The sequence below is a fragment of the Homo sapiens genome, chromosome 17 (assembly GCF_000001405.40).
Source record: "Homo sapiens chromosome 17, GRCh38.p14 Primary Assembly".
NCBI classification, from domain to species: domain Eukaryota; kingdom Metazoa; phylum Chordata; class Mammalia; order Primates; family Hominidae; genus Homo; species Homo sapiens.
The window spans coordinates 16,242,320-16,268,800 of record NC_000017.11 but is presented as its reverse complement, the minus strand read 5'-3'; the positions used below and the strand labels follow the sequence as shown (position 1 = coordinate 16,268,800).

The following is a 26,481-nucleotide window of genomic DNA, read 5'->3' as shown; positions in this document are numbered from 1 at the left end:
ACAGAACAAGACTCCCATCTAAAAAAACAAATAACAAGAACAACAAAAAAACGCCAGGCGCAGTGGCTCATGCCTGTAATTTCAGCACTTTGGGAGGCTGAGGTGGGTGGATCACTTGAGGTCAGGAGTTCGAGACCAGCCTGGCCAACATGGTGAAACCCCATCTCTACTAAAAATACAAAAAACTAGTCAGGCATGGTGGCAGGCGCCTGTAATCCCAGCTACTCAGGAGGCTAAGGTAGGAGAATCGCTTGAACCCAGGGGGCAGAGGTTGCAGTGAACCAAGATGGCACCATTGCAGTCCAGTCTGGGCAACAAGAGCGAGACTTCATCTCAAGAAAAACAAAACAAACAAAACAAAACAAAAAACACCTAATATATGTCAGCTATGATAATTATTAGGCTGCTAGTAATGTTTCACTTAAAAGAGGAAGAGGAAGTGGCAACAGAAGGGAAATGGCTCAGAAGCAAATATCTCACTTTACACCACTGTCTTGCACTATGTTTGTACTACTATTATCCCAATATCATAGCATGCAGCTTGGGGCCTCTGATGCCTTTGAGTTTTCTATCTATAATGCTCTTCTCCTGCTTCTTCACAAGCCTACCTTTCAACTCATTCCCATCTCGGCTCAGGTCATGTAGACCAGTCATCATCTTCAGGAGAACTTTCCCTAAATCTCAGGTTAGACAAAGTACCTCTCTTCTGAGATCTTTCTCTGAACTTCCCCTTGTGCTCCATCTCTGCTGTTACCACGGCATGGTGAATATTTACAGTCTCCTCCCCTCCCTGGTCTGGGAGCTCCTTGAGGGACGAGTCTGTTCTGCTTACCAGTCTAAAGAGTCTGCTCTTTGTCTGCTCTTGCCTGGAGTAGAGTTAAGTAGAGCAGAGCCTGCCTCCACCAGGAGAGCCTGGGACACCTTCTTTACCATGGCTAGTATTACACAAACATTCTGGTGCTCCAAGTTGCACCCCCTGGGCTGGCTCTTAGTGAAGATATTGAGTCTAAACTTGGGGTCAAAGAAAGACTAATTGCCAAGTTAGAAACCACAAATTCGGGTTAATTTCTTTCCTTTTCTTTTTTTTTTCTTTTTTTCTTTTTTTTGATATGGAGTCTCACTGTGTTACCCAGGCTGGAGTGCAGTGACACCATCATAGCCCACTGCAGTCTGGGTTCAAGTGATCTTCCCGCCTCAGCCTCTCAAGCAGCTGGAACTATAGGCGTGTGCTACTATGTCTGGCTAAATTCAGGCTAATTTCTGAGACCTAATGGCTAAAGAACCCCGACAATATGACCACAGTTGACCCTTGAACAACACGTTTGAACTGCGTGGGTCCACTTATACAAAGATATTTTTTCAACAAAAGTTACACCAAGTGTGCCTGCCTCTCCCGCCTTCCCATCCACTTCCTCCACCTCTTCCGCCTCCCCATCCACTTCCTCCACCTCTTCCGCCTCTGCCACCCCTGAGACAGCAAGATAGCCTACTCAATGTGAAGACAGGGATGAAGACCTTCATGATGATCCATTTCCACTTCATGAATAGTAAATACACTTACTCTTCCTTATGATTTTCTTAATAACATTTCTTTTCTCTAGCTTACTTTATTGTAAAAATACAGTATATGATAAAGATACAAAATATGTGTTAATTGTTTAGGTTATCAAGAAGGCTTCTGGTCAATAGGCTACTAGTGGTTTGGGGAATCTAATCTTTTATGTAGATTTTCAGCTGCATTGGTGGGAGTTGGCACCCTAACCCTCTCATTGTTCAAAGGTCAACTGTAGTTCTAAAAACAATTAAAAGGAATTGCTGGGATGGTGCTGTTTGGAATAATTCAGAGATCAAGGAGATTCATAAACTTAATTTCCACGACAACCCCCCCCCCCCCAAAAAAAAAGAGCAAGGCGTGGTGGCTCACGCCTGTAATCCCAGCACTTTGGGAGGCTGAGGCAGGCAAATCACGAGGTCAGGAGATCGAGACCATCCTGGCTAACACGGTGAAACCCCGTCTCTACTAAAAATACAAAAAAAATTAGCTGGGCATGGTGGCGGGCGCCTGTATTCCCAGCTACTCAGGAGGCTGAGGCAGGAGAATGGCATGAACCTGGGACGCGGAGCTTGCAGTGAGCCGAGATAGCGCCACTGCACTCCACCTTGGGCAACAGAGCGAGACTCCCGTCTAGAAAAAAAAAGAAACTATTATCTGTTGAGCAGCTCCACTTGTAAGTCAGTCTACTAGGCAGTTAAAGGTCTTGATTCGGTCAACATAAGAGGCTGGTGATGTGAGTACCACCTCACTCAATTCATAGATATGAAGCCATGATTTCAGTTGCCCAAGAGTAAGAGTACCTGGCACAATAAATGAAGTAATAGAAGATATTCATTCTTTTTTTTTTTTTTTTTTTTGAGATGGAGTCTCGCTCTGTTGCCCAGTCTGGAGTGCAATGGCGCGATCTCGGCTCACTGCAAGCTCCCTCTCTCAGGTTCAAGCGATTCTTCCGCCTTAGCCTCCCCCATCATGCAGGGCTAATTTTTGTATTTTTGTAGAGATGGGTTTTCACCATGTTGGCCAGGCTGCTCTTGAACCACTGACTTCAGGTGATCCGCCTGCCTCAGCCTCCCAAAGTGCCGGGATTACAGGTGTGAGCCACCACACCAGGCCAGAAGATACTCATTCTAATTCTGGAGATGAATGAGGTTATGTAAAACAGCACTGAGATTTTTCTAGAAAGAGTCATGACAGCCAGATACTTTATCTTGGTGTGTTTTTCAGACATGTCCTCTCACTTCTCTTCAGGATGAAGAGTCCTCTCTGGGTGAAAGGGCCCTCAGTTCCCCTTCCTCATGGTTAGTACTGAGGAGAAGCTGCCCAGGGATGGGATGATTCCTAACAGGATACTCAGGACTTTTACTCTTCTTAAAGTACAGGGTCTATAATGCTCTTCAGGGCATGGGGGGAAATGCGGGGTCTGAAGCCCAGAAACTCTCCTTAACTTGTTGAGACTATTAAGACCCAGCTGTTTCTAAGAAAGTTTCCTTGATTTTTTTTTTTTTAATACGGAGTCTCGCTCTGTTGCCCATGCTACGAGTGCAGTGGTGCGATCTTGGCTCATTGCAACCTCTGCCTCCTGGGTTCAAGCGATTCTCCTGCCTCAGCCTCCCAAGTAGCTGGGACTACAGGCACGTGCCACGATTCCCAGCTAATTTTTGTATTTTTAGTAGAGAGGGGTTTCACTATGTTGGCCAGGTTGGTCTCGAACTCCTCACCTCATGATCTGCCCACCTCAGCCTCCCAAAGTGCTGGGATTACAGGCATGAGCCACCGCGCCTGGTCTGGTTTCCCTGATTCTTGATGCCAGTTAGGTTGTGGGGACTAATACTCCACCATGGGCAGTCTTGAGCACCTATGCAGTCATCATGTTAACACCCACAGGAGTCTCCAGCCCTAAATCATCTGTCCTAATCACCTCGTGACCACAACTTGCTCACTATGTGCCCTTTGGCATCACTCCCCACCCATTTATGAATGTGACCTAATCAGCACCCTTAAGGTCACCGTTAGTTACCTTACCATATATCCCTAAGTGTTAGTCTTAAGGTAACACTATTCCCTTTATTCCTAGGTGTTCTTCTCCAAATCCCTTTCTGTTACCTCACAATGACACAGTGTCACTTCCCTTCTCATACAGAAAAAAATAATACCACTACTCTGCAGCCAGTTGGCTGATTCCTCACAAAGGCCTTTACCCTCTTAGAAGGACTATAAGCATTATATAAATTGATGTGAAACATTATAAAACTAAGTTTGTCTCTTTATTCACATTGTCATGTGAAAATGACTACATCACATTTCAATAATATGGAAAGTAGCCAGGCGCGGTGGCTCACGCCTGTAATCCCAGCACTTTGGGAGGCAGAGGAGGGCGGGTCACCTGAGGTCAGGAGTTCCAGACCAGCCTGGCCAACACGGTGAAACCCCCATTAGCCAGACGTGGTGGTGGGCACCTGTAATCCCAGCTACTTGGGAGGCTGAGGCAGGAGAATCACTTGAACCAGGGAGGCAGAGGTTGCAGTGAGTAACCTGCAGTGAGCTGAGATCACGCCACTGCACTCCAGCCTGGGCAAGAGTGAGACTCTGTCTCAAAATAATAATAATAATAATAATAATAATAATAATAATAATAATAATAATAATGACGATGTGTTTGGGAAGACTAGTTTGACTTAAAGGTTACATGGCATACACAAAACTCCTTGTGAGGACATTCTAGGTGAGGCATTTCAAAGAGCTAGGCAGTTATTTTCTAGAGCAGCTAATCTGTTTCTGGTATTAAGAGTCAATTTATATAGGCCATGTGTGGTGGTTCACACCTGTAATCTCAGAACTTTGGGAGGCCGAGGTGGGTGGATCACCTGAGGTCAGGAGTTCGAGACCAGCCTGGCCAACATGGTGAAACCTCGTCTCTACTAAAAATACAAAAGATTAAGGCCATACCCAGAGACTCATGCCTGTAATCCCAGCACTTTGGGAGGCTGAGGCGGATGGATCACTTGAGGTCAGGAGTTCAAGACCAGCCTGGCCAACATGACCCCATCTCTACTAAAAATATAAAAATTAGCTGGGTGTGATAGCAGGCACCTGTAATCCCAGCTACTTGGGAGGCTGAGGCAGAATAATTGCTTAAACCCAGGAAGCAGAGGTTGCAGTGAGCCAAGATCACGCCATTGCACTCCAGCCTGGGCAACAGAATGAGACTGTCTCAAAAAAAAAAAAAAAAAAAAAATCAGCCAGGAGTGGTGGTGGGGGCACCTGTAATCCCAGCTACTCGGGAGGCTGAGGCAGGAGAATCGCTTGAACTCAGGAGGCAGAGGTTGCAGTGAGCTGATACCTTGCCATTGCACTCCAGCCTGGGCAACAAGAGTGAAACTCTGTCTCAAAAAAAAAAAAAAAAAAAAAAAAAGTCAACATTTACAGGCTGGGTGTGGTGGCTCACACCTGTAATCCCAGCACTCTGGGAGGCCGAGATGGGCAGATCATGAGGTCAGGAGATCAAGACCATCCTGGCCAATATGGTGAAACCCTGCCTCTACTAAAAATACAAAAATTAGCTGGGCGTGGTGGTGCACACTGTAGTCCCAGCTACTTGGGAGGCTGAGCAGGAGAATTGCTTGAATCCGGAAAGCAGAGGTTGCATTGAGCCGAGATCACGCCACTGCACTCCAGCCTGGGCAACAGAGCGAGACTTCGTTTAAGAAAACAAAAAACAAAAAAAAACCTAAACAAAACAAACAAAAAAAAACCAATAAAACAAAGTGTATAATTTGGCCAGTTGTGGTGGCTCACAACTGTAATTTGGGAGGCCAAGGCATAAGGATCGCTTGCAGTCATGAGTTTGAGACCAGACTGGACAACATAGTGAGACCTCATATCTACTAAAAATAAAAATAATTAGCCAGGCATGGTAGTGTGTGCCTGTAGTCCCAGCTACTCTGTAGGCTGAGGCAGGAGGATCACTTTAGCCCAGGAGTTTGAGGCTGCCATGAGCTGTGACTAAGCCACTGCACTCCAGCCTGGGAGCGAGATCCTATCTCAATGAAATAAAAGAAACTGTACAATTCAATTTTTTAGTAAGTTCACAGAGCTGTGCAGCCATTACCACAATCAATTATCAAATCTAGAACATTTTCATCCCCCCCCCCCAAATAAACCATATTATAATAAACCCCATTTTTCCCTCCTCCCAACCCCTGGCAAACACTTATATACTCTGTTTCTATGGATTTGCTTCTTCTGGGCATTTAATATAAATGGAATCCTATGTAGCTTTTTGTGTCTAATTTATTTCACTTAGCATAATGTTTTCCAGGTTCATCCATGCTACAGCATCAATCAGTATTTTCTTCCTTTTTATGGCTAAATAATATTCTAATTGTATTAACATACTACATTTTGTTTATCCACTCATCAGTGACAAACATTTTGGTTGTTTCTACCTGTTGGCTAGTGTGAATAGTGTTGCTATGAACATTCATATACAAGTTTTTGTTTGAATTATTATTTTCAATTCTTTTAGGCATTTACCTAGAAAGAGAATTGCTAGTCATGTGGTAATTCTATGTTTATTTTTAATTTTTATTTTTTTTAGAGATGGGGTTTCACTATGTTGCTGAGGCTGGTCTTGAACTAGCCTCAAATAATCCTCCTGCCTCAGTCTCCCAAGTAGCTGGGGTTACAGACACAAACCATTTGTATTTGGTGTTTATTTTTAAGTTTTTGAGGAACCGCCGAACTGTTTTCTGTGGTGGCTGCATCATTTTTCTTGCCTACCAGCAATGTATTAGGGTTCCAATATCTCAGCATTCACACGAACACTTTTATTTTTCCTTTAAAAAATTTATGTAGGTGTGAGTGGCATCTCACTGTGGTTTGGATTTGCATTCCACTAATGACTTATGATGTTGAACATGTTTTCATGTGATTTGGGGCCATTTGGCCCATTTGATACCTTCTTTGGAGAAATGCCTACTCAAGTCCTTCGCCTGTTTTTCAATTGGATTGTCTTTTTTCTCTTGAGACAGGGTGTCACTCTGTTGCCCAGACTGCAGTGCAGTGGTGTGATCTTGCCTCACTGCAACCTCTGCTTCCCGGGTTCAAGTGATTCTCCCGCCTCAGCCTCTTGAGTAGATGGGATTACAGGTGCGCACCACCACACCCGGCTAATTTTTGTATTTTTAGTAGAGATGGAATTTCACCATGTCGACCAGGCTGGTCTTGAACTCCTGGCTTCAAGTGATCTGCCGGCCTTGGCCTCCCAAAGTGCTGGGATTACAGGCATGAGCCACCATGCCTGGCCACAGTGGCAATTTTAATAATTTTTAAATTACTTTTTGAGCCATACTTGGTAGCTGACACCTATAATCCTAGCATTTTGGGAGGCTGAGGCAGGCAGATCACTTGAGCCTCAGAGGTCGAGACCAGCCTGGGCAACATGGTGAAACCTCATATCTACAAAAAATACAAAAAAATTAGCCAGGCATGGTGGTGCGCACTTGTAGTCTCAGCTACTTGGGAGGCACTGAGGTGGAGGGATCATCCCTGTCTCAAATTCCAGGCGGGTCTCAAACTCCTGGCTTCAAGCAATAATAATAATGTATTATTATTCTCTCTGCCTCCAGAGTATTGGGATTACAGGTGTGAACCACTGTGCCCACCCTATTTTTTGTCTTTTTGTTGTAAGACTTCTTTATATATTCTGAATATCAATCCCTGATGAGCTATGTGGCTTGTAAACATTTTCTCCCATTCTTTAGATTGTCTTTTCACTCTTGATAGTGTCCTTTGATGCATAAAAGTTTTTAATTTTGACAAAGTCCAATTTATCTATTTTTTCTTTTGTTGATTACTGTTTTGGTGTCATATTCAATAAATTGTCACAGGATCCTTGGGGTGTTGCTTCGCCAGCTAGAAACCTCTGTGGCCAGTGATGCCTTCTGCCTGAGTATTGCTTGCACCCACTGGGTTTGTTCTGCCCACTCAGCCCAGCAGGCAACGCAACAGCCTGGGCCGGGCTCTCCAAAGGGCTGCAGTTCTTTTCTTCTTGTTGCTGGGAATGTGGCAAGCAGAGGGATATGTTTCAGCCCTATTTGTATTACAGCTCTTTTTTTTTTTTTTTTTTGAGATAGAGTCCCACTCTGTTGCCCAGGCTGAAGTGCAGTAGCATGATCTTGGCTCACTGCAACCTCTGCCTCCTGGGTTCAAGCAATTCTCCTGCCTCAGACTCCTGAGCAGCTGAGATTACAGGCATGTGCCACCATGCCCAGCTAATTTTTGTATTTTTAGTAGAGACGGGGGTTTCACCATGTTGGTCAGGCTGGTCTCAAACTCCTGACCTCCTGATCTGCCCACCTCAGCCTCCCAAAGTGCTGGGATTACAGGTGTGAGCCACTGTGACCGGCTGTATTACAGCTCTTTTAGCCGCTATTTGGCAGGTCCTGAGTTTTTGTTCCCTGTCCAGGAAGAATGAAGTACACGGACAACTAGAGGGTGAGCAAGATAGAGAGGAGCTTCACTGAGAGGCAGAACCATTCTCAGGAGACCCAAAGTGGGTAGCTCCTTTCTGCAAGCAGGTCATCCCAACGAGTATCCAGCTGTCAGAGGAGAAGAGACCTGCAGTGAGTAGCTCCCTTCCACAGGCAGGTCATCCCAATGTCTGTGCAGCCCTCAGCAGACAGGAGACCTGGAGTGGGTAGCTCCTATTCGCAGGCAAATCATCCCATCATCTCTGCAGCCCTTAGTGGAGAAGAGACATGGAGTGAGTAGCTCCTAACAGCAGGCAGGTCTTCCTGTTGTCTGCCTGAATCTGGCTGAGACTGAGGTTTTTATGGGCTTCAGAGGGGAGGAAATGAGTGCTGAATTGGTCCATGGTTTGCCATGGGCAGGTCCAGAAAAAGCACCATAAGTTCTCACTCCAGTCCATGGAACTGGCAGCCCAGCCCACAGGCTTCAGGCTGTCACTGGCTTGAAGGTGGGGCTTCATCGGGCACCTGCCCCTTTCAGTCCACGAGCCTGTCTGCCTCCTGCTGCCATCAATCTGCCATCCAAGTGTCCATGGCACCAAGGCTGTTTGTGCCAAGGGGTGCCTGCAGGCCCATGGTGAGCTGCCCTCAGCACCCCCTCGGCCTCCCACTTGTGCTCATCTCTGCCCAAAGCCCAGAGAGGGCCAAGTTGGCAGGGGGCTGGTGTATCAGTGCTGCCCTGAGCATGCGTGCACTGTGGCAGGTTGCGACAGTGCCTGGGCTCAGCCTCAACTTTGCTCCAAAATTGGAGCGGGCACCAGGAACAGGAAGAGGCCAGGCAGTGGGAGCAGGCATTTTTGAGCCTGTGGGGGCAGGGGGCTTCCTGAGTCAAGAGTGCAGGGATGCCTGGGTCCACAGCTACAGCTGGTTGGCTGCAGCTGCACTGGCCCTGCCAACTCAGAAGGGAGTAGGGCTCCCGCCTGTTCTTGGCTTCCGTTGGCTCCATGGAGTGTGCAGCCCCAGCCATGCCCACTCCCCCACCAGTCCCCTCAATGCTGGTGTCATGGCAGTAGCCACCACTCCAAACAGGCCGCTGCTGCCATCAAAATCATCAGCAAATCCAAGCTCAAGAAGATTCCTATATTTTCTTTTAAGAATTTTATAGTTTTAGTCTTTATATTTAGATTTTTTTTTGAGATAATTTTTGTGTGTGGTGTGAGGGAGGAGTCCAGCTTCATTCTTTTTTCTTTCTTTCTTTTTGTTTTTTTGAATAGAGACAGGGTCTCACTCTGTTGCCTTGGCTGTTCTCAAACTCCCTAGGTTCAAATGATCCTCCTGCCTCGGCCTCCCAAAGTCAACTTCATTATTTTGCATGTGGATGTTCCATCACCATTTGTTGAAAAGAGTATTCTTTCCCCATGAATTGTCTTGGCACCATTGTTGAAAATCAATTGACTATATGTGAGGGTAGAATGTATTATTCTTTTTTTTTTTTTTCCTGCAAAGTCCAGGATCGAGGCTTAGAATGTATTATTTAAAAGAAAGAAAGAAAAAAAGCAACAAAACAGAATAAAGCCTACTCATCCTTCCATTACAGAAACCAGACTGTTGTGTCTCAGCCTTAAGGAACTAGGTCTATCTGATCATAACAGTTGTACCAAACTAGTAGATGTAGCAACACATCATCTTGAATTACAACACACACAAACAGCTGCAACTTTACTTGTCCCAAGGGCTCTCTGGAGCATCCCACAAATGACTAGAAATTGTTTTTTGGAACTTGGTGTTATGGGGAAATAATCTGAAAGACTGACCCAATAACCTTTCTTCTGGACACTAACATTATTTGTCTTTAAGATTTGCATTTTAGAAAATTTGTTGTCTCATATACAAAGTTTTTGGTCCCAGTACAATTTTTGTAGAGGCAATGGTGAGCTAACTAAATTCATTTTGGTTAATAAAAAAATGTCTACTTCCAGGCTGGACGTGGTGGCTCACACCTTTAATCCTAGCACTTTGGGAAGCCAAGGCAGGTCAATCACCTGAGGTCAGGAGTACGAGACCAGCCTGACCAACATGGAGAAATCCCATCTCTACTAAAAATAAAATTAGCTGGGCATGGTGGTGCATGCCTGTAATCCTAGCTACTCCGGAGGCTGAGGCAGGAGAATCGCTTGGGCCCGGGAGGCGGAGGTTGCAGTGAGCTGAGATTGCACCATTGCACTCCAGCCTGGGCAACAGCAGCAAAACTTTGTCTCAAAATAAATAAATAAATAAATAAATAAAAATAAAAATAAAAGAGGCCAGGTGAGGTGGCTCACACCTGTAATCCCAGCACTTTGGGAGGCCGAGGCGGGCAGATCAGGAGGTCAGGAGTTCGAGACCAGCCTGGCCGATATCGCAAAATGCCGTCTCTACTAAAAATACAAAAATTAGCCAGGTGTGGTGGCAGGCACCTGTAGTCCCAGCTACTTGGGAGGCAGAGGCAGAAGAATTGCTTGAACCTGGGAGGCAGAGGTTGCAGTGAGCCAAGATCACGCCACTGCACTCCAGCCTGGGCGACAGAGCAAGACTCCATCTAAAAAAAAAAAAAAGAAAAAAAAAGTCTACTTCCGAGTTTTCTCTCTCTCTCTCTCTCTTTCTCTCTCTCTCTTTCTCTCTCTCTCTCTCTCTCTTTCTCTCTCTCTCTCTCTCTCTCTCTCTCTCTCTTTCTTTCTGACAAAGTTTTGCTCCTGTGGCCCAGGCTGGAGTGCAGTGGCGCTATCTCAACTCACTGCAACCTCAGCCTCCCAGGTTCAAGCGATTCTCCCACCTCAACCTCCCAAGTAGCTGGGATTACAGGTGCCCGCCACAACACCCAGTTAATTTGTATTTTTAGTAGAGATGGGGTTTCACCATGTTGGCCAGGCTGCTCTCAAATTCCTGACCTCAAGTGATCCGCCCGCCTTGGCCTCCCAAAGTGCTGGGATTACAGGCATAAGCCACCGTGCCCGGTGGAAATATGGACTTCTAATTAAAGGACTAGTGACATTTTCACTTTACTCTCTTCTCTCAAACCCCATTAAAAACAACAACAAAAGGTATAAAAATTAAATAGCATCAATTTCTATTAAGAAAGGAAAAAAAAAACCCACTGCTGAAAACCACAAAATATATGATACATATATATGATACATTCCTGCCTATTACTGTCAACCCTGCCCCAGAAAGAGGAGGGCATACAGCCATCTGGTACATGCTGCACCTTGGACTTTTAACAGGATATAGAATTCCCTCAAAATTGAGCCTCAGAGGCATCTTCAGAGGCTCACCATCTTCAGAGGCAACTAGTGTTCTTTTTGTTTGGGTTTTTCTTTTTTTTTAGATGGAGTTTTACTCTTGTCGCCCAAGCTGGAGTGCAATGGTGTGATCTCAACTCACTGCAACCTCCGCCTCCTGGGTTCAAGCGATTCTCCTGCCTCAGCCTCCTGAGTAGCTGGGATTACAGGCGCCCGCCGCCAGGCCTGGCTAATTTTTGTATTTTTAGTAGAGACGGGGTTTCACCATGTTGGCCAGGCTAGTCTCGAACTCCTGACCTCAGGTGATCAACCTGCCTCAGTCTCCCAAAGTGCTGGGATTACAGGCATGAGCCACCGTGCCTGGTCTGTTGTTTGTTTTTTAAGGACATTAATTTTTTTTGAGACAGGATCTCTGTTGTCCAGGCTAGAGTGCAGTGGCAGTGGAGTGCATGGCTCATTGCGGCCTCGACTTCCTGGGCTCAAATGATCAGGAAGAGGGTCTTAAAAAGAGACTGGCTGGCATGGTGGCTCACGCCTGCAATCCTAGCACTTTAGGAGGCTGAAGTGGGCAGATCATTTGAGCCCAAAGAGTTCAAGACCAGCCTAGGCAACATGGCAAAACTCATCTCTACTAAAAACACAAAAATTACCCTAGTGTGGTAGAGCATGCCTATAGTCCCAGCTACTTGGGAGGCTGAGGATCACTTGAGCCCAGGAGGCAGAGGCTGCAGTGAGTCAAGGCTGCACCACTGCACTCCAGTGACAGAGTGATACCCTGTCTCAAAAACAAACAAACAAACAAACACACAAAAAACAAAACAAACAAAAAACAACTATAAAGGGTGAAAAACGGCTGGGCGCGGTGGCTCACGCCTGTAATCCTAGCACTTTGGGAGGCTGAGGCAGGCAGATCACGAGATCAGGAGTTTGAGACCAGCCTGGCCAACATAGTGAAACCGCATCTCTACTAAAAAATACACAATTAGCCGGGCGTGGTGGCATGCAACTGTAGTCCCAGCTACTCGGGAGGCTGAGGCAGAGGAATCGCTTGAAGCTGAGGCAGAGGAATCGGGAGGTGGAGGTTGCAGTGAGCCGAGATCATGCCATTGCACTCTAGCCCAGGTGACAGTGTGAGACTCCGTCTCAAACAAACAAACAAACAAACAACAAAAAAACCCTCAATATTATATTATGAACATCTTCTTGGGTTATTAAATATGCACAGAAAACTTTAAATTGTGGTTTAATGTTCTAGACCATGGCTATAAAACAGTTCACCTACTGCTAGATGTTTCAGTTGCTACCAGTTTTTTGCTATTATAAATAGTGCTGCAATGAATATCACAATACATAAAGACACTTTGAATCCCATTTTTGTGGTATTTGCAAACCTTTTCCAAACAACCTCTTCCAATGAGTGGTATTAGCTCCAAATGCATGCTTTGTTCCTTCCTGGTCTCACTTTTTTTTTTGTACTTGACTTCCCTAGTCATATTACTTGAAGGCTCAGTCTCCCTTCAGTTCCCAGAATAATCTGGCTTTGAAGTAGTATCGAAGCAGCTTTCAGTTTTCACATAACAGCTCCATATCAGCTAGGTCTACTTTGGTCTCCTTCCCTGGTTTCTTTTCTAGGAAACATTCTTGTCCTTTGCACCCTTTGGGAGAACCAGAGCCCTGCCCTTCTCTTGCCAACAGGGACTGGAACTGTGCCCTTGAGCCTCAGCCCAGCCACTTCTTTGTGTATTTGGAGAAAAGGACTGCAGGAGGCTTTATTTTAATCTCTTAGAGTGAGAGGACGCGTGGTCAGATCCGCTTTGGCAGCAAGCTATGGTCTTTTTTGTTTTTTTGTAAGGGGAAGGCTCTCACTGAGTCTCAAGAGGAGAGAGAGTTTAATTACTAACATGATCCCAACAGTCCCAGCCTCTGCTTTGTGGCTTCTCTTTCCCTGTTACGATTTGCATGGATTTATTGGAAAACACAGTGACTTCCAGGAACTGCTAGCAACCCAGGCCCATTTATGTTTCTTAGTAGGTACCAGATTATATTTCCTTGTTCAGCTTAAATTAGTCTGTAAAAGTCTTGGACTTTTTAATGCTACATTGATGTCAAGACAAGCACTGGGAGAAACGAGATTTTTATTGTGCTGAAACCTTAGGACAATGGAGCCAAATCTGTAGAATGGCAAAATAAATAGATGTAGAAAAATACTTTCAAACCTAAGTATTCATTTAGAACTTTCTATCCAGTGTGGCAATCAGGAACAGGAAGAGAGAGAGAAAAAAGAAGAACTTTCCAGAAGGTTAAAACTATGTAAGTCAAGGGTAACTTTAAATAAAACGAAAACAATTTCACTTAAGACTCAGAAATTAGTTTGTTAATTTCAATTTCTGCGTAAATAAAAACTGAGGAAAGTGGGTTGGATAGCTTAGGCATCATTCGAGTTCTTAGAGACCACACACACATTCATATGCTGGTCACAGGAAGAGAGTTTATGGTGCAAATGGAATCATTCCTTTACTAAACAAACATAATTGAGCAAGTATTATATATCGAGGGTTCAAAGGGCCTTACGGCCTACAGTAAAAAACTAGTGTATATGGGCCAGGCATGGTGGCTCAAGCCTGTAATCCCAGCACTTTGAGAGGCCGAGGCGGGTGGATCATGAGGTCAGGAGATTGAGACCATCCTGGCTAACACAGTGAAACCGTTTCTACTAAAAATACAAAAAATTAGCCGGACGTGGTGGTGGGCGCCTGTAGTCCCAGCTACTCAGGAGGCTGAGGCAGGAGAATGGCGTGAACCTGGGAGGCGAAGCTTGCAGTGAGTCGAGATAGCGCCACTGCATTCCAGCCTGGGTGACAGAGCAAGACTCTATCTCAAAAAAAACAAAACAAAAAAACAACCAACCAAACAAACAAAAAAATTCATGTATATGCCAGGTGCGGTGGCTCACGCCTGTAATCCCAGTACTTTGGGAGGCCGAGGTGGGCGGATTACCTGAGGTCGCGAGTTCGAGACCAGCCTTAACAACATGGAGAAACCTCATCTCTACTAAAAATACAAAATTAGCCAGGTGTGGTGGCGCATGCCTGTAATCCCAGCTACTCGGGAGGCTGAGGTAGGAGAATCGCTTGAACCCGGGAGGCAGAGGTTGCATTGAGCTGAGATCACGCCATTGCACTCTAGCCTAGGCAATAAGAACGAAACTCTATCTCAAAAAAGAAAAGAAAAAAAGAAAAAAAAATTGGTGTATATGCTAGAATACAGTGGAACAATGGGAATGTAACAAAAGTGTCCAAGAAAACCTGGGGCAAATTAGGGATGATGCCATGGGATCTAAGATAATTCTTTTGAAGAATAAACAGAAGGTTGCTAGAGGGACAAGATGAAGGGCGTTGGAAAATGTGGAAGTGTGTTAGAGGAGGGACTAGCACATGCAAAGGTGTGGATGCATTAGACAGCATGGTATATTTGAGGCACAGCTTAAATATGGACTGGGAGATGGAGAGGAGAGACATAGATTGGGGTACTGGGACGTCCTATTTTTTTTTTTTTACTTAGACAAAGTCTCGTTTTGTCACCTAAGTGGGAGTACAGTGGCATGATCATCACTAATTGCAGCCTTGAACTCCTGGGCTCAAATGATCCTCCTGCCTCAGCCTCCTAAGTTCCTAGAACTACTGGTGTGCAGCATGCCTGGCTAATTTTTAATTTTTAGTAGGGATAGGGTCTGGTGTGTTGCCCTGGCTGGTCTTGAATTCCTGGGCTCAAACTATTGAGCCTCCCATCTTGGTCTCCCAAAGTGCTGGGATTACAGGCATGAGCCACTGTGTCTGGCCAGTTCTACCTATTTTTGTTACAAGAATAGAGGTGATATGTGTATAAACAGGTGCTAAAAGATGAGGCTGAGCAAGGAAAAAGAAATTAGACCACAAACTGCTTTTTGTGTGTATTTTTAAAAAGTTTTAAAAAATCTTTTAAAAAAGTAATAATTGTATATATTTATGGGGTACAATGTGATATTTTGATGTAAGTATACATTGTAGGTTGATCAAATCAGGCTATTTATCATATCCATCACCTCAACTATAAATTGTTTCTTTGACCATGAACAGCTTTTAGACCTTCAAGTTTTGCCAAACAGTAGGTCATTGGGCCCCCATGCACTTTAATAGGCATGGGTTTTAATTGGAGGGATCTTGTTTGTTTTACGTTTTTGTTGTTGTTGTTGTTTGTTTGTTTTTTTGAGACGGAGTTTCCCTCGTGTTGTCCAGGCTGGAGTGCAATGGTGTGATCTCGGCTCACTGCAACCTCCGCCTCCCGGGTTCAAGCTATTCTCTTGCCTCAGCCTCCCGGGTAACTGGGCGTGATGGCGCATCCTGACCTTGTGATCCACCCGCCTCAGCCAGGCATGCGCCATCACCCCAAGCTAATTTTGTATTTTTAGTAGAAATGCGGTTTCTCTATGTTGGTCAGGCTGGCCTTGAACTCCTGACTTCAGGTCATCCGCCCACCTCGGCCTCCCAAAGTGCTGGGATTACAGGAATAAGCCACCACGCCCAGCCTTCTTTGTTTTATTTCACCATAAACAGTTCTTTTCTGACTCCCCACCATTTCTAGTCTAAGCACTTAGGAGTGGTGTCCCTGGGTTACTCCCCATTCATCCTCCAGAAAGAAGCCCATGAGAAGACTACAGTGTTTATAAAAAGGTTTAAATGCATTGTTATCTTTTAAAGGAACTCTGTTCTATGCTTTGAACTTATCAAATAAAATATTATCAAAATGTACACAGAATTATTTGTAATCTAGCATTCACTTGGATGGCTAGAAGTTGAGTAGAGAGGGAGGAAAGTTTTATTAGTTGTGTAGGATAGTCTTTTAAATTATATATATGTTTTAAAAATTATATACATATAATTATATAATTATATGTATATAACTTTTAAAGTAATAAAGGCTTACTAAAAAAAACCTACACAGATTCATGTGGAATTAGAAAGTGATTATCTCTCTTCCCTGGCTCCAACTAAGTAGCAGCTACTGTTAAAGAGTTTGGTATCTATCCTTTTAGAAATTATCTGTGCATACTACCTAAGTCTTGTCTTAGTTCTATTTAAAAAAGGAAAAGAGGCCGGGTGGGGTGGCTCACACCTGTAATCCCAACAGTTTGGGAGGCCAAGGCGGGTGGACCACGAGGTCAAGAGATCGAGACCATCCTGGCCAACATGGTGAAACACCGTCTCTAATAAAAATACAAAAATTAGCTAGGCGTGTTGGCATGTGCCTGTAATCCCACCTACTCGGGAGGCTGAGGCAGGAGCATCGCTTGAACCTGGGAGGTGGAGGTCGCAGTGAGCCGAGATTGCACCACTGCACTCCAGCCTGGCGACAGAGCGAGACTCTGTCTCAACAAAAAAAAAGAAAAAAAAAAAAAGGAAAAAAAAATTATCTGCGCATAGAGAAATTCGTGTTTTTGTTTTTCTAAATATAAATAAAATAATTCTATAGATTCTTCATAATATGTTAAGAAGCACAAAAGCAACAAATGAATACCAAATCTGTTGGCTGCATTTCTCAATCACATACCGTTCCCAAGTATTCTGGAAAGGGTCTCTAATCTCCTCTCTAGGCCTGACCTTCAATACATGCATAATGAAATAGCTGTCCACAAATGCAACAGCAATGACTGTCATGGCAAAACCTATTATTCATTTCCTATACCTTTCACTGCTTTTCTCTTTCTTCAGCATCTAGCACAGTGTCATTCTAGGTACTGAATAGGTATCTGTTAACATCTGTGCAGCATGCATTTTAACATCATACTAGATGTTAAGGTACTGGGTAAAGTTGCCAAAAGTCCCCATATAGTGGTCTTACAACTGAGATTATGCCTTCTTTTCTTGAGAACTAGATTTTTTCCCCCCTCTTTAACTGATTAGTTGAGGGATTTACTTGGGTGAGCTCCTCTGGCTAAATGTTTTGCAGTGAAGTTCAGAACAAGGGGAAAATAGAGCTGATTCTATACGATGTCAATTAAATGTACTCATAAACCCACGTTGGTCTTTTTTTTTTTTTTTTGAGACAGAGTCTTGTTCCATTGCCCAGGCTGGGGTGCAATGGCGTGATCAAGGCTCACTGCAACCTTGACCTCTTGACCCCAAGCGATTCTCCCATCTCAACCTCCCAAGGAGCTGGGACCACAGGCACACGCCACCATACCAGGTTAGTTTTATTTTTTGTAGAGATGGGGTCTCACTATGTTGCCCAGGCTGGTCTTGAAATCCTGGGCTCAAGTGATCCTCCCACCTCGGCCTCCCAAAGTGCTAGGATTACATGCACAAGCCACCGTGCCCAGCTCGTCTTTCAAATACAGTAACAAAGTGGTGATCTGCTTCCCTGAAGAAAGTCAGAATCTATTCCATCTCCCTTTCTGTTTTTGAATCCTCACATTGTCATTTATTAAACGTGTGACCACAAAGATTCTCTTAATCTCTCTGAGCTTTAGTTTCTTCCTGTGAAACAAAAAAAGAAAATAAAACCTATCTTGTGCAGTTAGTCTAAGAATTAAATGAGACTGCCTTTGTGAAAGCATGTGTCAGGCATGGAGTAGGTGGAAAATAGTGGTTGAAGCATATACTGTACACCCAGATTGCATCAGCTCAAATGCCAGCTCTACCAGTTATTAGCTGGATGACCTTGAGCAAATTACTCAACCTCCCACTGTGTCTCTGTAAGATGGGAAAAATAATTAGACTATTTTGAGGATTAAGAAAGATCATATATTTATTTTTTTGGCACTGACAGTAGTAGTTTTATATTTACTGTTATTGTTACGAGTACAGGTCCTCTATAAAACTTCTCTTTCTCTTCTTCCTCTTCATTCTTCTCTTTGACTTATCTAAATAATCTAAAGTAAGATTCCAAAGCTCTGCTTTTTCTGGGTTAGGAGATGAGAGGCTGAAAGACTGACTGTTGCGTGTTGCTATGGATTAAACTGTGATCCCTCCAAATTCATGTTAGGTTGAAGCCCTAAACCCAAAATGTGACTGTATTTGGAGGCAGGTTTTTAGGAGGTACAGCAGCCTCCTTTTACCTGTGGATGATATGTTCCAAGATCCCCAGTGGATACCTGAAATAGCAGATGGTACTGAACCCTATATATACTATGTTTTTTCTTATACACATGTTAACTATGATGAAGTTTAATTTATAAATTAGACACAGTAAGTGTGCTGGTTAATTTTAAGTATCAGCCAGGCATGGTGGCTCATGCCTGTAATCCCAGCACTTCGCAAGACAAAGGAGGCAGGTGGATCACCTGAGGTCAGGAGTTCGAGACCAGCCTGACCAACATGGGGAAACCCTGACTCTACTAAAAATACAAAAATTAGCCGGACATGGTGGCATATGTCGGTAATCCCAGCGACTTGGGAGGCTGAGGCAGCAGAATCATTTGAATCCAAGAGGTGGAGGTTGCAGTGAGCCAAAATCATGTCACTGCACTCCAGCCTGGGCAACAAGAGTGAAACTCCATCACACACACAAAAATAATAATAATTTAGGTATCAACTTGACTGGATTAAGGATTATCTAGAGAACTGGTAAAGGATTATTTCTGGGCATTTTTATGAGGGGGTTTCCAGAGGATACTGGCCTGTGATTCAGGGAACTGACAGGGGAAGACATGCCATCAATGTAGGTAGGCACAATACAATCAGTGGGGGACCCACATGGAGCAAAAAGGTGATTTCCTCTCTCCTGAAGCTGGGATACATTCTTCTTCTCCTGTCTTTGGACATCAGAACTCCAGACTCTTTGGCTTTTAGATTCTAGGGCTTATACCAGTGGCCTGCTTGTTTCTCAGGCCCTCGGCCTTGGACTGAGCCATACTTCTGGCATCCAGCTTGCAGATGGCCTGTTGTGGGACTTCTCAGCCTCCATAATCACGGGCCAACTCCCCTAATAAATCCCCTCTCATATATCTATAATCCTATTTGTTTTGTTTTGTTTTGTTTTTGTTCTTGTCTTTGTGTCGCTCTGTTGCCCAGGCTGGAGTGTGACGGCATGATCTTGGCTCACTGCAACTTGTTTCCTACCAGATTCAAGCGATTCTTGTGTCTCAGCCTCCCGAGTAGCTGGGACTACAGGCGTGCGCCACCATGCCCAGCTAATTTTTGTATTTTTAGTAGAGACAGGGTTTCACCATGTTGACCAGGCTGGTCTTGAACTCCTGACCTCAGGTGATCCACCTGCCTCGGCCTCCCAAATTGCTGGGATTACAGGCGTGAGTGCACTGTGCCCAGCCAGAATGGTGTACATTTTAAATGTATAAATTGTTTATTTCTGGAATTTCCATTTAATATTTTTAGACCACAGTTGACTGCAGGTAACCGAAACCACAGAAAGCAAAACTGTGGATAAGGGAGGACTACTGCAATTGAGGTTATATAAATCCATAAATGTGGGGCCCTAATCTGATAGAACTGGTGGTGCTATAAGAAAAGGAAGAGATCTGTCTCCCTCTGTCCCTCCACCACATGAGGCACAGTGAGAAGGCAGCCATGTGCAAGTCAGGCTGAGGACCCTTACCAGAAACCAACCCTGCCAGACCTTGATCTGGGACTTCTAGTCTGCAGGACTCTGAGAAAATAAATTTGTGTTGTTTAAGCCACCCAGTCTATGGTATTTTGTTTTGGCAGCCCAAGCTGACTAAGACAGATTTTAGTACTGTGAAGTAACAGATACATAAAAATGTGCAAGTGGCTTTGGAACTAGATAATGGGTAGAGGTTGGAGGAGTTTTGAGGTGAATGCTAGAAAAATCCTAGACTGCCAGGAAGGAATGGTTGGTAGAAATATGGACATTAAAGGTGATTCTGGTGAGGACTCAGGAAAGGAAAAGGAGACTGGAGAGAAAACCTCCATCTTCTCAGAGAATACATAAACAATCATGAACAGAATGTCAGTGGAAATATGGTCTTTAAGGCCATTCTGATGGGGTCTCAGAGAAAAATGAGATAAGACATTGGAAAATGGAGAAAAGGTGATCACTATTATAAAGAAGCAAAGAACCTGCCTGTATTGTGTTCTAGTGTTTTGTGGAAGATAGAACTTCTGAAGGATGAAATTAGATATTTAGCTGAGGCGAATTCTAAGTAAAATTTTGAAGGTGTGGCCTGGGTCCTCTTGACTGTTTATAGTAAAATGTAAGAGTTGAGAGATAAAGAAGAAATTGCTACGTTTAAAAGGAACCAGAACGTAAAGGTTTTGGAAAATTTTCAGCCTGTCCATATTGTAAAAAAATGAGAAAGCTTGAGGCTGGGCGCAGTGGCTCAAGCCTGTAATCCCAGCACTTTGGGAGGCCAAGGCTGGTGGATCACGAGGTCAGGAGTTCAGGACCAGCCTGACCAACATGCTGAAACCCCGTCTCTACTAAAAACACAAAAATTAGCCAGGTGTGGTGGTGCGCGCCTGTAATCCCGGCTACTTGGGAGGCTGAGGCAGGAGAATCGCTTGAACCCAGGAGGCAGAGGTTGCAGTGAGCTGAGATCGTGCCACTGTACTCCAGCCTGGGCGACAGAGTGAGACTCCATCTCCAAAAGAAAAAAAAAAGAGAGAAAGCTTGTTCTGAAGAGAGCACTCTGGTGTGACTGAACAACCATTTGATGAGGTGATTAGCATGGGTGTGAACCACACATGTAATCAACCACCTCAATAACAGCCAGGAGAAAGAAAAAATCGGGTGGGACGAAAGAAGCCTGCTGGACTTAAGAGTCTACAGGACCAGACAACAGAGCTATCTGGCTGCAAACATGCGTCGTCCTTCAAGAAAAGGGAAGAATGACCTCAAAAGTTATCCAGAGATCAGAAGGACTACCATTCCCACCACAGGCTCCAGAGGGCTTGGAGGGCCGAATATCCGCCCAAAGAGGATTGTTCTCAAGCCTCAAGATCTAATGGAGTTTACCTTCCTAGGTTTTGGCCTTGCCTGGGGCCTGTCACCCATTTCTCCCTTTTGGAATGAAAATATCTATCCTATGCCTCTCCATTCCTTATATTTTGTAAATATATAACTTGTCTGTTTTCACAGGTTCACAGCTGGTGAGGCTATTTAGATGAGACTTTGGACTTTCGAGTTAATGCTGGAATGAGTTAAGACTTTGGAGGCTGTTAGGATGGGATGAATGTATTTTGCATGAAATAAGGACATGAATGTGGGAGTCTGGGATGGAATACTATGAACTGAATAGTGTCCTCAACAAATTCATGTGCTGAAGCCCTAACCACTAATTGTAACTATTTTGAGATAGGGTTTTAGGAGGTAACTAAGATCACATGAGGTCATACGAGTGGGGCTTTAATCCAATAAAACTTGTAGCCTTTTAAGAAGAGGGAGGGAAGAAGGAGAGAGTGAGAGAATCTCTTTCCAGCATGTGAGAACATAGCGAGAAGGTCATCTGCAAGCCAGGAAGAGAGTCCTCATAAGAAAGTGACCCTGCAAGACCTTGATCTGGGCCGGGCGCGGTGGCTCACGCCTGTAATCCCAGCACTTTGGGAGGCCGAGGCGGGTGGATCATGAGGTCAGGAGATCGAGACCATCCTGGCTAACAAGGTGAAACCCCGTCTCTACTAAAAAAATACAAAAAAAATTAGCCGGGCGCGGTGGCGGGCGCCTGTAGTCCCAGCTACTCGGGAGGCTGAGGCAGGAGAATGGCGTGAACCCGGGAAGCAGAGCTTGCAGTGAGCCGAGATTGCGCCACTGCAGTCCGCAGTCCGGCCTGGGCGACAGAGCGAGACTCCGTCTCAAAAAAAAAAAAAAAAAAAAAAAAGACCTTGATCTGGACTTCTAGCCTGCAGAAATGTGGGAAAATAAATTTCTATTGTTTAAGCCACACTGTCTACGGTATTTTGTTAAGGGAGCCCAAGCAGACTAAGATGCATTTTTCTTGAATCTTCAAACTGGCTTCTTTAAGTATTTACTTTTTTTTTTTGAGACGGAGTCTCACTCTGTTGCCAGGCTAGAGTGCAGTGGTGCAATCTCGGCTCAGTGCAACCTCCGCTTCCCGGGTTCAAGCGATTCTCCTGCGTCAGCCTCCCAAGTAGCTGGGACTACAGGTGTGCACCACCATGCCCAGCTAATTTTTGTATTTTTAGTAGAGACGGGGTTTCACCGTGTTGGCCAGGATGGTCTCGATCTCTTGACCTCGTGATCCACCTGCCTCCCAAAGTGCTGGGATTACAGGTGTGAGCCACCGCACCCGGCCTGAAGTACTTACTTTTAATAGGCTTACTATCCCTCTACTATAGCATTTCACGAGTAGGGGAGTGATGCTGAAGCTACATGGTCTTCATGTGATATATAAAAAATATAGGTGCCATGACCGGGCGCAGTGGCTCACGCCTGTAATCCCAGCACTTTGGGAGGCCGAGGCGGGTGGATCACAAGGTCAGTAGATCAAGACCATCCTGGCTAACATGGTGAAACCCCGTCTCTACTAAAAACACAAAAATAAAAATAGCTGGTCAAGGTGGCGGGTGCCTGTAGTCCCAGCTACTTGGGAGGCTGAGGTGGGAGAATGGTGTGAACCCAGGAGGCAGAGCTTGAAGCGAGCTGAGATTGTGCCACTGCACTCCAGCCTGGGTGACAGAGGGAGACTCCGAGACTCCGTCTCAAAAAAAAATATATATATATATATGTGTGTGTGTGTATATATATATATATGTGTGTGTGTATGTATATATATATGTGTGTGTATATATATGTGTGTGTGTATATATATATGTGTGTATATATATATAGGCCAGGCATAGTGGCTCACACCTGTAATCTCAGCATTTTGGAGGGCTGAGGCGGGCAGATCATGAGGTCAAGAGATCGAGACCATCCTGCCCAACATGGTGAAACCCCGTCTCTACTAAAAATACAAAAAATTAGCCACTGCACTCCAGCCTGGCGATAGAGCAAGACTCCGTCTCAAATATATATATATATATATACTCCCTGGCTTACAATCTGGCTACGTCCCAATAAACCCATCCTAAACTGAAAATATCATAAGTAAAAAACACACTCTAGGCCGGGTGTAGTGGCTCATGCTTGTAATCCCAGCACTTTGGAAGGCCGAGGCAGGTGGATCATCTGAGTTCAGGACTTCAAGACCAGCCTGGCCAACACGGCAAAATCCCGTCTCTACTAAAAATACAAAAATTTAGCTGGGCATAGTGGCAGGCGCCTGTAATCCCAGCTTCTTGAGAGGCCGAGGCGGGTGGATCACGAGGTCAAGAGATTGAGACCATCCTGGCCAATGTGGTGAAACCTCGTCTCTACTAAAAATACAAAAATTAGCTGGGCGTGGTGGTGGGCACCTGTAATCCTAGCTTCCTGGGAGGCTGAGGCAGGAAAATTGCTTGAATCCAGGAGGTGGAGGTTGCAGTGAGCCGAGATTGCACCATTACACTCCAGCCTGGGCAACAAGAGCGAAACTCCGTCTCAAAAAAACAAGAACAACAAAAAACACACTCTAGTCTGGGTGTGATGGCTCACACCTGTAATCCCAGCACTTTGGAAGGCTGAGGTGGGTGGGTTGCTTGAGCTCAGGAGCTCAAAACCAGCCTATGCAACGTGGCAAAACCCTGTCTCTAAAATAATTACCAAAAAAATTAGCTAGATGTGGTGACGTGTGCCTGTAGTCCCAGCTACTCGGGAGACTGAGGCAGGAGGGTCACTTGAGCCCGGGAGGTGGAGGCTGCAGTAAGCCATGATCCTGCCACTGCACTCTAACCTGGGTGACAGAGTGAGACCCTGTCTCAAAAGCAAAAAACAAAAACCAAAAACTCCCCGCTTTATACCTTCAACTTAGGAGGTGTTTATCCAAATGTAACCCCATCCCAAGTTGAGGAGTGTACTGAATGCACATTGCTTTCTATCAGAGTAAAGATCTTAATAACCAAGATCTCCAAAACAGATTTGTCCCCGAAAACATTTGCATTACTGGGCCAAAGCAGACACTGCACAGGCAGGACATTGTGCAAATGGAGTGCCTGAGAAAAAACACGATTACTAATATTGAAATTGCCTTTGCAAAATTATGACTGAGACAGTGAAAGAGATCTAACTTAACTGACTCCATCTTGCTTCTAACCTCCAAGCTGTCCTTGTTCATTCCTGGGCATAGGATGAACTAACTTTGGGAGAAACTTAATTTATAGATCATAGTTTAAACAAAGACGGTAACAGCCCTTTCCCAAAGCAGACCTCCTTGCCTGGGGACTAGATTGCCTTTGTAGGACTAACGAGTTAGGCCCAAGATTATAAATTATGGTTTAGGAGTCATGCAGCTGGAGGACACAAGATTCTAACCCTCCCTAAACTGCTAAGATCAGTGCTTGAGATATTTTGCAGACCCTGCACTTGATGGATCACCCAGATCAATAAACTGGCTCATCTGATCTTGTAGTCCCCCACCCAGGAACTGACTCAGCCCAAGAAGAGACCTTCGACTCCCCATGATTTCGTCTCTGACCAATCAGCTCACTGGCTTCGCCCCACCCACCACATTATGCTTAAAAACTCTGCTGCCTGAATGCTCAGGGAGACAGATTTGAGTAACAGTAAAACTCTGGTCTCCCGCAGCTCTGCGTGAATTACTCTTTCACCATTGCAGCTCTCCATCTGGATAAATTGGCTCTGTCTAGGCAGTGGGCAAGGTGAACCCCTTGGGCGGTTACAATATTAATGTGAAAAAACAAATCACAACACTCACAGAGTAAGAGGGTGGGATATCATCTTTGAAAACAAAGGAACCCATAACTCCTTTCACAAATTAACTCAAAACCATGTATCTTTCGAGGTTTACGGAGGAAGAAATTTAGGAACAGAATTCAGTAACTTGCCTAGGTTACGCAATTAAAAACTTTAAACTTGGGTTTCAGTCTGGGCAGTCTGGCTCTATAAATCCACTGGTATAAACAGAAGAAATTCTCCCGTGGTGACCCCAGTAGTTTACCATGAAGCAAGTAAGATCAAGAATAAATCTAAACTTTTTCCTTCATCTCTTTGTAGCATACTGAAATGAATGGGATCCCCACCCCAAATCAAATACAGTGAACATCAATTCCCACCAATGCCTAATATTATAAAGAATAATCAGCAGGCCAGAAACGGTGGCTCACGCCTGTAATCCCAACACTTTGGGAGTTCGAGGCAGGTGGATCCCCTGAGGTCAGCAGTTCGAGACCAGCCTGGCCAACATGGTGAAACCCTATCTCTACTAAAAATATAAAAATTAGCTGGGTGGGTGGCACACGCCTGTGATCCTAGCTACTTGGGAGGCTGAGGCAGGAGAATTGCTTGAACCCGAGAGGTGGAGGTTGCTGTGAGCCAAGATTGCACCACTGCATTCCAGCCTGGGTAACAGAGCAAGACTCCGTCTCATAAACAAACAAACAAACACACACCAGTAACAACACAGTTAATGGTTAAACACTGGATATGTTGTCAATCAAATCATAAATACGGATAAAGTTGCCTGCTTTCCCTTTTTTGTTTAACATAGATTAAGGAAATCCACTCAAAGAAATAAGAAATGGATCAGGGCTGAGCGCAGTGGCTCATGCCTGTAATCCCAGCACTTTGGGAAGTGGACCATTTGTGGTCAGGAGTTCAAGACCAGCCTGACCAACATGGTGAAACCCCATCTTTACTAAAAAAACAAAAAATTAGCCGGGTATGGTGGTGTATGCCTGTAATCTCAGCTACTCAGGAGGCTGAGACAGAAGAATCACTTGAACCCAGGAGGCAGAGATTGTGTTACAAGCGAGACTCTGTCTCAAAAAAAAAAAAAAAAAAAAAAAAAAAGGAATCAGAAATAAGAGGCATATGTTGAAAACATGAAAGATTGTATTAGCATTATTTGCAGATGATTTACCTACAAAACTTTAGGGAATCAAGTTAAAACTGGTAGGCTTTTTACAGAAGTTTCAAAGTGATGAATATAAAATAAATACATTAAAAAATCAATAAAGCTACATACTAGCAGTAAATTCTTAACCAAAAAATCTTTTTCACAGCAATAATAATAAAAAAGAATCAAAATAACTTTAACAAGAATTGTTTAGTACCTAGATGAAGAAAACTATAAAAAGTTCTATATAGACTGGGAATGGTGGCTCATGCTGTAATA

General features: G+C 44.5%; 1 protein-coding gene across 6 annotated transcripts in view, besides 2 other annotated features; it reads right to left on the bottom strand.

The window, feature by feature from the left end:
- PIGL (phosphatidylinositol glycan anchor biosynthesis class L) overlaps nucleotides 1-26,481 on the bottom strand; it is a 109,202-nt gene that overhangs the window by 57,611 nt on the left and 25,110 nt on the right. The gene's annotated exons all lie outside the window — the stretch shown is intronic.
- Nucleotides 549-598: an enhancer, noted in NCBI's record as "active region_11750". NCBI's record gives its function as "activates an Ori minimal core promoter by ATAC-STARR-seq in GM12878 lymphoblastoid cells {active_cell/tissue: GM12878}" and the evidence as "EXISTENCE:reporter gene assay evidence [ECO:0000049][PMID:35858748]".
- Nucleotides 619-758: an enhancer, noted in NCBI's record as "active region_11749". NCBI's record gives its function as "activates an Ori minimal core promoter by ATAC-STARR-seq in GM12878 lymphoblastoid cells {active_cell/tissue: GM12878}" and the evidence as "EXISTENCE:reporter gene assay evidence [ECO:0000049][PMID:35858748]".